This window comes from Homo sapiens, chromosome 4 (genome assembly GCF_000001405.40).
Source record: "Homo sapiens chromosome 4, GRCh38.p14 Primary Assembly".
In the NCBI taxonomy this organism is placed as follows: Eukaryota; Metazoa; Chordata; class Mammalia; order Primates; family Hominidae; genus Homo; species Homo sapiens.
Window position 1 is genome coordinate 82,336,129 of NC_000004.12, and position 15,440 is coordinate 82,351,568.

Consider the following 15,440-nt stretch of genomic DNA (forward strand, 5'->3'; position numbering starts at 1 on the left):
AAGGTTGTGGCCTTTCTCTGACCTCACTTTTCCTTTTTGGCCTGTTCCTCTTGGTCCCTATTATAGAACACTGAGGTTGCCAGGTTTAATAATGCCTCCAGATTTTGTTCAGGGCCCAGGGCTCGCTTTTGGAGCTTTCTCCTGATATCTGCGGCTGATTGGGTAATAAACTTATCTTTTAGGACCAGTTGACCCTCGAGTGAGTTGGGTTACAGGGGAGTATATTTTCTTAAGGCCTCCCGTAGCCTCTTGAGGAAGGCAGAAGGATTTTCTTCCTTTCCCTGAGTTATGGTGGACATCATTTGAATAATTCATGGGCTTTTTCCTAATTATCCTTAGTCTTTCTAGAACACAGGTCAATAGATGTTTGCAACTCCAGTCCCCATGATCTGAGTTGAGATCCCAGTGGGGATCCATACTGGGGATGGCTTGCTGACCAGTAGGGAATTTGTCCCTTTCTTCAGCTGTCATTCTATCATTTACTTGACTAAGATACCAGGTGTCTCCAAATTCTTGGGTTGCAGCTAAAGCCACATTCTTTTCATTAAAGGTCAGGATTTGATCTAATAGCATGACATCTCTCCAAGTGAGGTCAAAGGCTTTCCCTAGACCCTGTAGGACATCTATGTACTTAACAGGATCATCTTAAAGCTTCCCCAGGTCTACCTTGATCTGCTTTAAATCAGAGAGGGAGAAGGGACATGTACCCAGGTTGGGCCAAATTCCCCTCCCCCTACAGCTTGAAGGAGACACAACCAATAGCCCAGGGGTTTTTGTAGTCCTTTGGAGATTTTTTGCTTGTTTCCTTCTGGGTAGGGGAGATTAAAGGAGACTTACCATTAATAGGAAGGGGAGCTATAGGGAGGCTAGGATATGGGGGTAAGCTGAGAGGTCCTCCTGTGGGATGTAAATTGCAAGCTTTGCGTAGTTGTGGATGCTCCTTCAATGAAAAGAAAGCTTGGACATAAGGTATTTTACTCCATTTGCCTTCCCTCTTACAGAAAAGGTCAAGCTGCAGGATAGTATTGTAATTTATACTTCCCTCAGGTGGCATTTTTCCCCATCAGAGAGAATACTGGGGCCAAGCCATAGTGCAGAAAAAAATGAGCCACCTCTTTTTCAGAGTTTGCAGGTCAAATTGGTCCCAATGGCTTAGGATGCATTTCAAGGGTGAGCCTGTTGGTTCCTGAGTGTTTCCCATCTGAAAGAAAAAACCACCCACAGTTTTGGTTTGTTTCCACCTCCGCCCAAGAACCCGCAATGGTCCCTGGACCCTGCTAATCAGAATAGTTGCGCTCACCGACACAGCAGCAGAAGCACCAGTTTTCCTCCTAGACCACAAGGAGGACCGAGGAAGGTTGGATTTAGTGGCCCTTAGCAACACATTCTCAAAAATGTGCACCTTGCCTGTCCTCCTAGACCACAGAGGACCAAGAAAAATCGGATTTAATGGCCCTTACCAATGCATTCTCGAAAACCTGCACTCTTGCCTGTCCTCCTAGACCACAAAGAGGACTGAGAAAAATCGGATTTAGTGGCCCTTACCGATGCATTCTCGAAAACCTGTTAGAGTCCTAAGCATTCTCCTGTTAGTATTGGGACTTTACCCCTGTCCTATAAAGATGTTATGCCCCAAAAATGAAGGGGAGGGCCATACCCTGAGGGAGGGAAGGGATCTTCAAGGTTGGAAATGTGACACCTTTTGTCCTCACTTGAATAGGAAGGATATCATTTCTGAAGCTCCCCATATCCTAGCTTCAAGAATAGCTTTTGTTAGGCCTGCTAGTCTGAGGAGGGATCCTAAAATTCCAGATGGTCCCACCCCCCAGATGGGGCTTTGGGCAAAAATTATGTCTTTCTGATTGGTGAGCCCGGGTGCCTAAAGAAGGGAACAAAGTCCTGAGGTTTATACTAGAAATCATTATTATAGGAGAAACTAGAAAAGCACCAGAGACAGGGAGTGGTTTTTAGAAGTGGGACTAGCCTCAAAGAAGAGAGGCAAGAGGAAGTTTGTCTGACAGGCATTAGGATCCAGGAGGCAAGGGTCAGGATAGATAGGATAGATGGGTGAGTCTCGCTTGGGCAACATGACTTTGAGAGTTCCACTTATGGCCGCAGGGTCAACCAACTTGTTGTCGGGACCCTGGAGCTGAATGGCTTCCCTCTCTGTCAACCCTTGGCTCAGCCCAGAAGTACAGGAAAAGCGGAAGCTGGTTCCAGGCAAACCAACACTCCCAACTCCGAAGAGTCGGGGATTGTTAGAGAGCCCTTTCCCAGAAAGCCTGACACCCGTGTCTTTAGTCCGGTGGCTGCACTAGTCGCTTTTAACTGGCCAACAGGTGCCTGGTATTTAGCCTCCAAATTCTAAGGAAAAATAGGACAGAATAGCAAGCGAAAGGGGTCCAATAGCACTCACCACTTGGTGACAGTCCCAGCTGGTTTGCCAAAATGCGTCCGGAATTTATTCCTTCTGGTGGGCTCTTGATCTCGCTGACTTCAAGAATGAAGCCGCAGACCATTGTGGTGAGTGTTACAGCTCTTAAAGATGGTGTGTCCAGAGTTTGTTCCTTCAGATGTTCAGATGTGTCTGGAGTTTCTTCCTTCCCGTGGGTTCATGGTCTCACTGACTTCAGGAGTGAAGCCGCAGACCTTCACAGTGAGTGTTACAGCTCTTAAAGGTGGCATGTCGGAGTTGTTTTTTCCTCCCGGTGGGTTCTTGGTCTCACTTCAGGAATGAAGCCTCAGACCCTCGAGGTGAATGCTGGAGCTCATAAAGGTAGTGCAGACCCAAAGAGTGAGCAGCAGCAAGATTTATTGTGAAAAGTGAAAGAACAAAGCTTCTACAGCATGGGAGGGGACCCAAGAGGGTTGCTGCTGCTGGCTGGAGTGGCCAGCTTTTATTCCTTTATTTGCCCCTGCCCATGTCCTGCTGATTGGTCCATTTTACAGAGCGCTGATTGATCCATTTTACAGAGTGCTGATTGGTGCATTTACAAACCTTTAGCTAGACAGAGAGCGCTGATTGGTGCATTTTTACAGAGTGCTGATTGGTGCATTTACAATCCTTTAGCTAGACACAGAGTGCTGATAGGTGCATTTACAATCCTTTAGCTAGACAGAAAAGTTCTCCAAGTCCCCACTCAACCCAGGAAGTCCAGCTGGCTTCACCTCTCACTATTATCACAATTTTATAGATTTATGTATTCATTCATTCAACAAACACTTATTGAACATCTGCTGTCCGTCATGCACTGTTCCATGCTGGGACTACAGCAGTAAATGAAACACAAGAATCCTTGCCTCCATGGAGCTTATATTCTAGACAAACAATAAATAAAATTTACCTAATGTTAGTTAAGAGGTAAGTACTGTGGAGAAGAACTAAGTATTGAAGGAGAATAGGGTTTTCAGAATAGAAATGGAGGTAGCAATTATTGTAAGAGATGATAGCATTTAAGTAAAATCATACAGGAAGATGAGGAAATTGAGGCTAAAAGAATTATAACTTGTTCAAGGTCACAGAGCTAATAAGGCTAATAAAATTACAGCTGAACACAACAAGGCAGCTGCCTGGAACCTTGATGCATCACTTTATAAAAATCTGTTGAATCCTATTAAGAGGTTTTAGGATTCGTCAAAATAAAGCTACATCTGTTCTTTCAGATAGCTCTGAGAAGTATTAGAGTGTGCACATTAATCCAGAAATGGAAGTAAAACATGACATTTGTATTTATTTTTATTTCAGGCCAAAGAATTCCAAAAAACAAGAAAGATTCCTAGGAGGATTTGGTAGAAATACTTCAAAAAGATCATAATTATCACCATTGCAATCCTCCTTTCAATTATTATCATTCTTTTAAGTACAAATGTAATACCAACATGACCCTTTTTCTTCCCATCCTCAACAGACACCAGTAAATGGCTATACATAATTAGAGATTTCTACAACCAACAGTTATGAAATCATTCTGTAGTGGTAATAAGATTGGAGGAAAAGGAGGTTGGAAGTATTTCCTTGTCCCTTAACTCTTGTCACTGTACCTCTCCCATTTCTGTAATGTCGACAGGCTACTTAACCTGTGCACCTTTTCCTCATCTGTAAAATGGGGCTGTTAGTAATATTTAATGAATAGAGTTATGTCTCCCACATAGTAAATGCTATTTACATGTTAACTCTTACTTAATAGGAAAAGATAATTGCAATTGTGGCATTGATTAAATTATTGTAATCTTCCTGCTTAGCCAGAAGTGAAATGACTTTGACCTTAAAATCAGATTTTAGAAATGAGAATTTTAACATCAGTACAGTTCAGAGATACACATTCACCTCTTCTACAGTTTTTTCATTTGAAATGAAAATTCAAACTATCATGTTTTATACTATGTATTTCCTTGTGTAAGGATTAAAAAATTAGTAAGTCATATCATTTTCTCTAACAAATCATAGAGAGAGGACATAGGTCCTCTCCTCCTATCTCACCATCCTAACAGCCTTTAAAAAAATACACTTCCTCCAGTAACCTCAACTTATTAAGATTTCAAATAACTAAAGCATCCAACTTTACTTTGCAGTTAGTAACAAGGCGTCATGGGTTCTGTTTCCCAAGTGGGAAACTGAGGTCTGAAGTCTGTTTTATAAGTCCCTTAGTGATTCCTGAGGAACAGACATCCTGACTTCAGGATAACTCATTTTAATTCTGGTAATGATCAAATACCAGCATTTTAAATAGCCACCAAGCTCATTATTCCTCCAATGCAATACCACCTTTCCATTCACAAAATATTTTTTAAAGGATCTTAAATGTTAGAAACTTTGGAGTTTCTGTAGTTCAGACTCAGGAAAAAATAGGCGATATGTTGACTGCTTACTCTGATACAATGTACTAAGTATCTTGGAAGAGGGGTGTCTCATTTAATTTTACAATAATACTATTAAGCGAGTATCACATAAAGCACACAGAACAGTGGCTGGCATAAAAGTGCTGTGTAAGTTAGTTCATATTATCAGCTTTATTTTGCAGATGAGAAAATAGCAAAGTTAAATGGCATGTTCAAGGTCACACAGCTGGAAAGCTAAGATTTTACTGACTGCTAAGATAAGCCCTACTGTGGCATATAGCCATGGAACCCATAGAGTAATAATTAAGATCCCTTAATTATGGGTCAGACAAGATACATCGTATTATTTCACTTCTTGTCAGTTTAGTAGGTTGTTTTGGCAGGGTAGAGACAAGAGTAGTTGGAAGAGGAATAGTCATGTATTTTGCTGCTGTTATTTTCGAAGCCCTATAAAACTTGCCCCTTAACATCTCTGTAAAGTAAAATTATGTATAAAACATATTTGTATCCTGATCACCAGTTAGTAGCATAATTATTGCTAGAGAACTGTGAACTTAAAGATCACCTAATCTAACCTCTTGCACTTTACATGTTAGGATATCAAGACCAAAAGTCTAAGTGAATTATGTGTCTTTGAGATTTTCTCTTCACTGGTAGCATGCTTAAAGCACAGGCTATCACCCTGGTTCCAAGCAAGAAGTCCTACATAATACTTGTTTTCTAAGGCAGTCTTTAGAGTTTAAGAGTTTTCAAGATAATTTATATTTTTATGGGCTGTCGAATGCTGCCTAGTAAGGATTGTTTCCCTGGTATTTATGCTAGAACTGTCAGAACATAGCTTGGCAGAAACAAATATTAAGTGATCTTGGATTTTTCATCTATTTATGCTTTCAAATAGTATTGAGCTCCTACTCTGCACCAAAACAATTCTAAAACATTATGGTTTATCCTAAGCTACTACATAGATAGAAATAACTGATGTTTGAAAAAATAGAATGATGTTTGTATATAGACATGTAAGACCTGGTCAGGCTCAGTGGCTCACACCTGTAATCCCAGCACTTTGGGAGGCCGAGGCAGGCAGATCACCTGAGGTCAGGAGTTCAAGACCAGCCTGGCCAACATGGAAAACCCTGTCTCTACTGAAAATACAAAATAAAAATTAGCTGGGCGTGGTGGCAGACACCTGTATTCCCAGCTACTCGGGAGGCTGAGGCAGGAAGAATTACTTGAACCTGGGAGGCGGAGGTTGCAGTGAGCTGAGATTGCGCCACTACACTCCAGCCTGGGCAACAGAGTGAGACTCCATCTCAAAAAATAAAAATAAAAAACCCTAAGGCCTATCTCTAATCCTTTAGGAAAGCTTACATTCCAGTTGAAGGAAGAAGTCCAACAAATATCATAAACAGGTTAAAGCAACAGCATCAATATTTAAGTGGTACATTGCATGGCAGAGAATAAGTTAAGAGATGATGATCAACACAGGCTCAAATCACTGAGGAAGATTCCATTGGTTGTAAGTGGGATAGGAATTGGATCTTATTAGAAATCGAATTTATTTCTACCATGAAGTGTCATAAATCGAATTTATATCAATAGGTAAAGGCAGTGCAGTTAACAATAACAATTAACTTATTGAGCACTTGTGTTCCAGTAACTGTTGTAAGTACTTTAGAAATCCTTCTTTAATTCTCACAACCCTGATGTAGGCACTACTGTTATTTCCATTTTACACATGAGAAAACAGAAGCATAAATGCCCAAGTCTACTGCACTAGTAAGAGGAACAGCTTGCTGTGGGGGTGCACAAGGTGGACTATGCATTGGTGGTGTTCAATTATGTTATCTTTCAGTCATTCAAGTGGCCTGCAGCAGAACTCTGTCTTGGGTTCTCTTCATTTCCCACTCTGCAACGTGCTCTTATTCACTCCCATGCTGTTGCTCTCTCCAGATCTAACCCCTCTTCTGAATTCCAAATCATTTCCCAATTCTCTACTAGATATACCCACTTGGATACCACGCAAACACTTAAGTTTAGATCCCCAAACTATACATTCTTCCATTCCCCCACAAAACCTGCTTATTTGACTTGATTTCCAATCTCAATAAATGGGATCACAGCTATCCTGTAATCTACAAACTCTTAGCCTACCTTGACTCCTCCCTTCTGCTCATCTTCTCTTTCCTAATTAGTCACCAAAATCATAGGGCTTCTGTGTCAAATCTCCTGAAGGTTCATCAGCCAAGGAAGTCCAGAAGAGCTGCAGAAGCAAAAGTAGGGAGTTCCCTGAGGGTGCCGAGGCAAACTTCGAGAAAGGGTACTCCTTCTATCATGGTTGATGGCTGTCTCTACTCCCGAGCCTGGCCACATCACACTCCTCTTTGTATTCAGTATGCCCAGCACATGTAAGTATTAACATTTGGTATTTTCAGATGCATGATTTCCATAGCTCTTAAACATGGTTAATATCAACAAATGTGAAGCTTTGGTTTTCAATTCTCAGCATCAGAGTCACCTAATGATCTTAATAATACATGTTCCTCGGCTCCACCCCTGAGGATTCTGCATAAGCCTGGGATGGGGCCTCAAAATGTTTGTTTAACCTCACAATGAGGCCGAGAACTGCTAACCTCAAGCACTTTTACATGACTATCATTTAATGTCCATTCCTAAGAAAGGTAATATAATTTTACACTTGGAAAAACTGAGGCTTGGAGATGGTTAATTTACCCAATATCACTGGGCAAATGACAGAGCTGGGCCACAAAAGCATTCATTTGAAATAATCTATTCCACTGAATGTATTAAACTAGAAACTTTTAAAAATCTGCTAAATAGAATGCCCCACATATTTTAATAAGTCTAAAAAGGATTATTTTAAGTTGTTTTGAAAGTTTATATTATCCCACTATAGGATCAAGGCCTCTCAGAGAATCTCACAGAATCATGGCAGAACCTAGAATAACAAAAACCATTAAATTCTGGCCTCTGATTTATTTATGTATTTATTTTTACGAAGTCTCACTCTTTTCCCTCAGGCTGGAGTGCGATGGCGCGATTTTGGCTCACTGCAACCTCCGCCTCCCGGGTTCAAGTGATTCTCCTGCCTTGGCCCCCCAAGTAACTGGGATTACCGGCACCTGCCACCACGCCCAGCTAATTTTTTTTTTTTTTTTTTTTTTTTTCAGTTGAGATGGGGTTTCACCATGTTGGCCAGGCTGGTCTAGAACTCCTGACCTCAGGTGATCCACCCACCTCAGCCTCCCAAAGTGCTGGGATTACAGGCGTGAGCCACCGTGCCCGGCCGGCCTCCGATTTTTTAGAACAAAAAGGCAAATCACAAGCTGGTTACAGACAAAGAGGTCGTTTGTTGAGGAGCAGACCTGCTTAGCACCACATCATGACCCAACATAATGGTGACTTCTCTCTTAACAGACCAGCACTAAGTGACCCGCATTCCTTTAACAGTTCTTGAGACATAAAAGTAAAAGTGGAATAGTGAAATAATAGTGCATTTATAATGAGTACTTTTGCTAACATTATTGCTCTTAGCCATCAAATTCAATTTACCATTTTCCAAAAATGTTGTAACATAAAATGGTAAATGCCTACCAGCACTTGTAGTGGTCTCACATTTGATAGCAAGCCCAGCAGATTACAAAGATTGAACATCCCCAAAAAATCTTCCTGCCCTCAATACCCTGCCTCATAAACATTCCGAAGAAAGCTGGAAATTGCTCCTTAGCATAAGCTAACTTTCCAAACAATCCCATCATTTAAAAATTTTATGTGATGTGTTAACATTCCAGTAGTTGCCTTACCTTTTCAACTAATAAGTTCTATGTTAAAGGTATTCATTCAAGAGAAAAAAGCTTAAGTCAAAAAAAACAGACAGTGCAAAAAATGCATGAGTGCTGTAAGAGTTTAATTGTAAGACAAAAGCACTGCTACATTATACTTTAAACATAAGTCATCTTTCAGAAGGAAGGATTCAGTGCAAATTAAAACCCTATGAAAGCCCAACTGTAAATTTCATATGAAGACTCTAGAAGTAAACTTCTAGAACTGGAAACACTTGGTTCCAACAGAATTTGCTTGGGGAGAATATGTCTTGAAAATGTTAAATGGTACAGAGAACATCATGTTTAAGTCAACCAGATACTAAAAAAAAGACATGCTGATAGGTCTTAATACATAAAACTAATTGATTAGCAGTAGCATGCTTTATATATCAATGATTATAAAAGCAATTTACAATAAATTTGAGCATTTCTAAGTTTTATTTACTGCCTTAGCCAATCTCTTAACTATACTGTAATAAAATGCCATTCTTCCAATTTTTATTTTATAATAAAAAGGTTTTCACTTCATCAGTCTCAGACTGGTGTTTTATATAAATGTTAAGCTCTGTATAATCCAAAGCCATCCATACAACAAAAAAGAAATTATGTAATTCCTTTTCTCAAGTGTTTATTCAAAGCATAGCTTCCATGCCATGTTAAATGTCACGTTTAGGTACTGGCATTAACAGACCTCTTAAGTTTCTTCCAATTCTTTTTTTCCTGAGAAATACAAAAGTCAGGAAAGTAACCTTCCTAATTCTAGAGTGCAAACAGAGTACAGCCTCTTATAACAAAATTAAATTTATACAAATTAACCTTGAAGTACTCTCTTCCCAATACCAAATGACTTAAAGTTTCCCAAAATAGATTCCAATAACCTCTATTATCACTGTTTAATAAATTAATGCCTATCTCTAATTTCTTTGAAGACTTTTAAAGAATTTCTCCCTTAACAACTAAAATAACAGATTTGGATTGCTATTACAAGAACACCATGCTCCTACTTAGGCTCTAAATCCTATAAAGCATTTCAGACTTTAATACAATAATTTTGTAAGGTCCTTTCTCCTTGCCCTTGGGAGAACACCTGCCCCCTACCCCCCACCCCCCGCTCCAATTCCCTGCCTTTACAGGGCTTACTGGGGGAAATTTATTAACATTTAGGAACTACCCTACTGCTTCAACTTCCTATATTATATAGTCAGTCCCCTGGAGACTATTCTTTATCTCAGCTACTCTATACTACTGCCATTTACATGGAAGGCTGCTGGAATTATGCAACCTTCTTGAGAATCGAAAAGGCGCTAAGGACAATAGGGCAATATATAACCAGCCCAATTAGAGAAAATAGCAAGTCAATTTCTATCAGAGTTGTTGATTACCAATTCATAATAATGCAATGGATGGCTAAGATCAGGGCAGAGGCAAGATACAGACAATAAGGGGAGTGTATTGGCTGTAGAGAATTTTAAAACAATACCAAGCAACTCACCATGTTCCCAGCCTGTAGCCACCCCCACCACCTACTTTCCCTGACTTGGTACATTACTGTTGTTCACTGTCATCTTGTACTCATTAGAATGTTAAAAATCATATCATTTTTTTTTTCAAGGTAGACTTAGGGTCCACAACTAAAATGCTGGTTTAGTAAAACATATACCTTTGTTTTTACAGAAGATGTAAAAACAAACCCTTAGGAAACAGTGTGTTTAACTCTATCTTAAAGAGTTAACACATTAAAGTCCTTAACACATTAGTATGCAATTAAGATCACTTGGAGGCCAGGGGCGGTGACTCACGCCTGTAATCCCAGCACACAGGGAGGCCGAGGCAGGCGGATCACCTGAGGTCAGGAGTTCAAGACCAGCCTGGCCAACATGGTGAAACCCTGTCTCTACTAAAAATACAAAAATTAGCCAGGCATGGTGGTAGGAGCCTGTAATCCCAACTACTTGGGAGGCTGAGGCAGGAGAATCACTTGAACCCGGGAGGCAGAGATTGCAGTGAGCTGAGATCGTGCCACTGCACTCCAGTGTGGGCAACAGAGTGAGACTCCGTCTCAAAAAAAAAAAAAAAAAAAAAAAAAATCACATGGTGTATGTGAAATACAGAATCCCAGGCAACACTCCCAAACAATTCTAAGTGATTCTGATATAGATGCCTACAAGCCTCTTTGAAATGCCAACCAGCTTATAATCAACCCTTACCCAATTTACCAGATTAAAAGCAACTGTTACCAACTAACAGGACAAGCGGACTCCATTTGCACAACTGAATATTTATCTTGCTAGAATCATTTTACCCATGGAAATTTTCAGGCGACTCCTAACTATGCCTAGTAACAGTTTGAATATGGCTAGTATTAAAGAAAGGATATACCCTTCTCAACCCTATCAAAAGTAGGTATCTTAGGCTGGGCACAGTGGCTCACGCCTGTAATCCCAGCACTTCAGGAGGCCGAGGCAGGCAGATCACTTGAGCACAGGAGTTGGAGACCAGCCTGAGCAACACAGTAAGACCCCATCTCTACAAAAAATTTCAAAAATTAGGCCGGGTGCAATTGCTCACACCTGTAATCCCAGCACTTTGGGAGGCTGAGGTGGACGGATCACCTGAGCTCAGGAGTTTGAGACCAGGCTGGTCATATGGTGAAACCCCGTCTCTACTAAAAATACAAAAGTTAGCCAGGTGTGGTGGTGTGTACCTGTAATCCCAGCTACTCGGGAGGCTGCGGGAGAATAGCTTGAACCTGGGAGGCAAAGGTTGCAGTAAGCCAAAATTGCGCCACTGCACTCCAGCCTGAGAGACAGAGCCGAGACTCCGTCTCAAAAAATAAAAATGAAAAAAAAAAATAAATAAACTGGGCCGGGCGAGGTGGCTCACACAATCCCAGCACTTTGGGAGATTGAGGCGGGCAGATCACCAGGTCAGGAGTTCAAGATCAGCCTGACCAATCCAGTGAAACCCCGTCTCTACTAAAAATACAAAAATCAGCCGGATGTGGTGGCGTGCACCTGTAGTCCCAGCTACTCAGGAGGCTGAGGCAGGAGAATCACTTGAACCCGGGAGGCGGAGGTTTTGATGAGCCAAGATCACACCACTGCACTCCAGCCTGGACAATAAAGTGAGATTCAGTCTCAAAAAAAAAAAAGAAAAAAAAAGTATATATATATATATATATATATATAAGCTGGATGTGGTGGTGCTTGCCTGCAGTCCCAGCAACTCAGGAGGCTGAGGTGAGAGGATCGCTTGAGCCCAGGTTGAGGCTGAGGTGAGCTGTGATCACATCACTGCATTCCAGCTTGGGCGACAGAGCAAGACCCTTTCTCCACCCCCCCCCCCACCAAAAAAAAAAAGGAAAGGTAGCTTTCAAAAAAAATCAAATTTTATGATAGTTTAGGGTCATCCTTAAATGTTAGTTCATTGATAAACTGCACTATTAAGAAACTGCTTCCAAATAAATTTATTGAGATGTGATGCTATATTATGGATCTAGGTTTTGACATTTCAGGTTAAACTCACTCCAAACAAAATAAACTCAGACATTTCAGGATCAACACAAATACTGTGATAGAAAGATTGTATCTTTCCAGTTTCCAAAATTCCTAATACCTCAAAGGCCCTAAACATACGTTTAAAGTACTAGTCTTAATTACAAAAAGAAACTTTCCCAAGCACTAAAATAGTAAAAGCAGAGACTAAATTAGTTTCTCATGTATACAACAGACAGGCTTAATAACTGGATTCTAATGAGACTACCTTTCAAAACTGTCAGCATGAACTGGCACCTGGACAGGTGTTCCACACCCACACTGTATTCTCAACTGTGCACAACCAAGTACAAAGAAGCAAATACTATCCCAGGATGTAAAGAGTATTATGCTTACATGACTTGCAACCCTATACACATCGAAGGTTAGGAAAGAAACAGACAAAAAAGGAAACCCAGGACCCAAGGAAGAGAAATTAACTCACCTGGTAGCAGACACCTACTAAACCAAAAGGTATCAAAATCTGATTCAGAACAACAGACCTAGAAAGCTCATTACTTGAGAAAAAGTGGGATTCCAACCAGAGTCTACAAAACCGTTTTGAGAATTGAGATCAAAGCTACATGACACTACCCATTAGTAAACACAGGTTAATTTGATAATAAACCAGCAAACTACTTGTAAATTTCACTTTGTTGGTCAAATTCTAGAAGCAGGGGTACCGAGCTCCCTGTTAATATTGATTTACCTGTCCTTTTTTGTTCTCCTAAACCTTACACCAATCACCCACCTACACAAAAAAGCTACAAAAAATAATCTGTGTCATGCCCAGTCTCTTCTGAAGTCACACTAAAAACGAGTTATCTAAAAAAACTGGGGAATGGGGGGGATAATATTTCAGGAGTTCGAGACCAGCCTGGCCAACATGGTGAAACCCCATCTCTACTAAAAATACAAAAATTAGCCAGGCCTGGTGGCGCATCCCTCTAGTCCCAGCTACTTGGGAAGCTGAGGCAGGAGAATCGCTTGAACCCAGGAGGTGGGGGTTGCAGGGAGCCAAGACCGTGCCACTGCCCTCTAGTCTGGGCAACAGAGTGAGGCTCTGTCTCAAAAAAAAAAAAAAAAAAAAAAAAAAAAAAAAAAAGAAAGAAGGAAGGAAAAAAACAATATTCTGCCAGCTGTCAGCAGTGTGGATATCACAGATTACACCACAGAACACCCTGACTCCCCGCAAAGATTTAGGAATTGGCAGTCCAAATACCTGTAGAAACATAGATGAAACAGGTCAAAAGATCGATTCAAAGTCGCTTAACAATTAGTTAAACCTCCAGATCCTCTATACTGCTGGCAATTGACTCCTGAACCCTGGCAGAAAACTGGAGATGTACTCTCTTAAGCAAGTTAGAAAAGAGCTGTTGGACTGAATAGGCACAGTGATGAAAATAAACAGTTTACTTTTTGAGATCCCTCAACTTCTTTTTCCACTGGGATCAGAAACTGACCACCTTTTCTTATCCTTTAGGGAGGAGAGTAAGACACCTCTGGTAAGCATGACCAGCTTCAGAAAACAAAACAAGGAAATGTATCAAGTGATTTCTCAATAAAATGACACAGCCATACCACCCAACAGTGAAGCCAGTGATTGAAAAGCACCCTGCCAGACCCACACACATAACATTCAATTAGCATTTAAAATGTTCCACTCCTAAATATGACCCAAGGATCACCAAACACCTGAAGAAATTTTCTAACATGAAAACCAGAAGCCAAAGCAACAGGAAAACAAAGCATCTTGGAAACAAACTTTTAAACAGGTTATCATTAATAACCTTAGAGATAAGAAAAAGGTATGTTGATATTTATTTATAACAGATGAGGGGGTGGTCTTAGAAACTGACACAATTGGCCAGGCGCGGTGGCTCCCGCCTGTAATCCCTGCACTTTGGGAGGCTGAGGCGGACAGACCACCTGAGGTCAGGAGGTGGAGACCAGCCTGGCCAAGATGGTGAAACCTGTCTCTACTAAAAATACAAAAATAAGCCGGGCATGGTGGTGTGTACCTGTAGTCCCAGCTACCTGGGAGGCTGAGGCAGGAGAATCGCTTGAACCCAGGAGGCAGAGGTTGCAGCGAGCCGAGATAGTGCCACTGCACTCCAGCCTGGGCGACGAGAGAACTCCACCCCACACACACACCCACACCCAAAAAAGAAACTAACACAACTTAAATTTTGGGATGTTTTTAAAAGTTGACAATTAGGCAAGGTGCAGTGGCACATGCCTGTAACTCCAGCACTTTGGGAAGCCAAGAGTTCAAGACCAGCCTGGGAAACATAGCAAGACCTGGTATCTACAAAAATTGAGAAAGATTAAATTAACAGAAACACATGTCCAGGGCTTATACCCAAACAAGAATTCCAGAGAACAAAGATCGAGATGGTAGATGGGGAAAGAAGAATCAGTTCAGTAATATTTCCCGTATCTGAAGAGCAAGTTTATACAATGACAAGATTCAGTGAGTGACCAGTACAATGTATTAAATAAACCCAAGATACAGTTGTGAACCATAAGAACAATGGTAAAATTCCAAGTGATTTCAGCGTTAAGAAAGATTCCATATGTAAGACCAAGATTTAAAATAAATTTCTGGGTCAAAGAACAGTGTAGCACACACCTGTAATCCCAGCACTTTGGGAGGCCAAGTCAGGTGGATCACCTGAGGTCAGGAGTTCAGGACCAGCCTAACATGGTGAAACCCCATTATCTACTAAAAAAAAAAAAAAAAAAATTAGCCGAGCCTGGTGGCACACACCTGTAATCCCAGCTGCTCAGGCGGCTGAGGCAGAAGAATTGCTTGAATCTAGGAGGCGGAGGTTGCCGTGAGCCGATATGCCACTGCACTACAGCCTGGGCAACAAAAGCAAAACTCCGTCTCAAAAATAAAAAAAATAAATAAATTTCTGGCCAGGCATGGTGGCTCACACCTGTAATCCCAGCACTTTGGGAGGCCGAGGCGGACGGATCACAGCATCAAGAGATTGAGACCATCCTGGCCAACATGGTGAAACTCCGTCTCTACTAAAAATACAAAAACTAGCTGGGCATGGTGGCACAGGCCTGTAGTCCCAGCTGCTAAGGAGGCTGAGGCAGGAGAATCGCTTGAACCCACGAGGCAGAGGTTGCAGTGAGCTGAGATCGCACCACTGCACTCCAGCCTGGCAACAGAGTGAGATGCTGTCTCAAAAACAAATAAAATAAATTTCTTCAC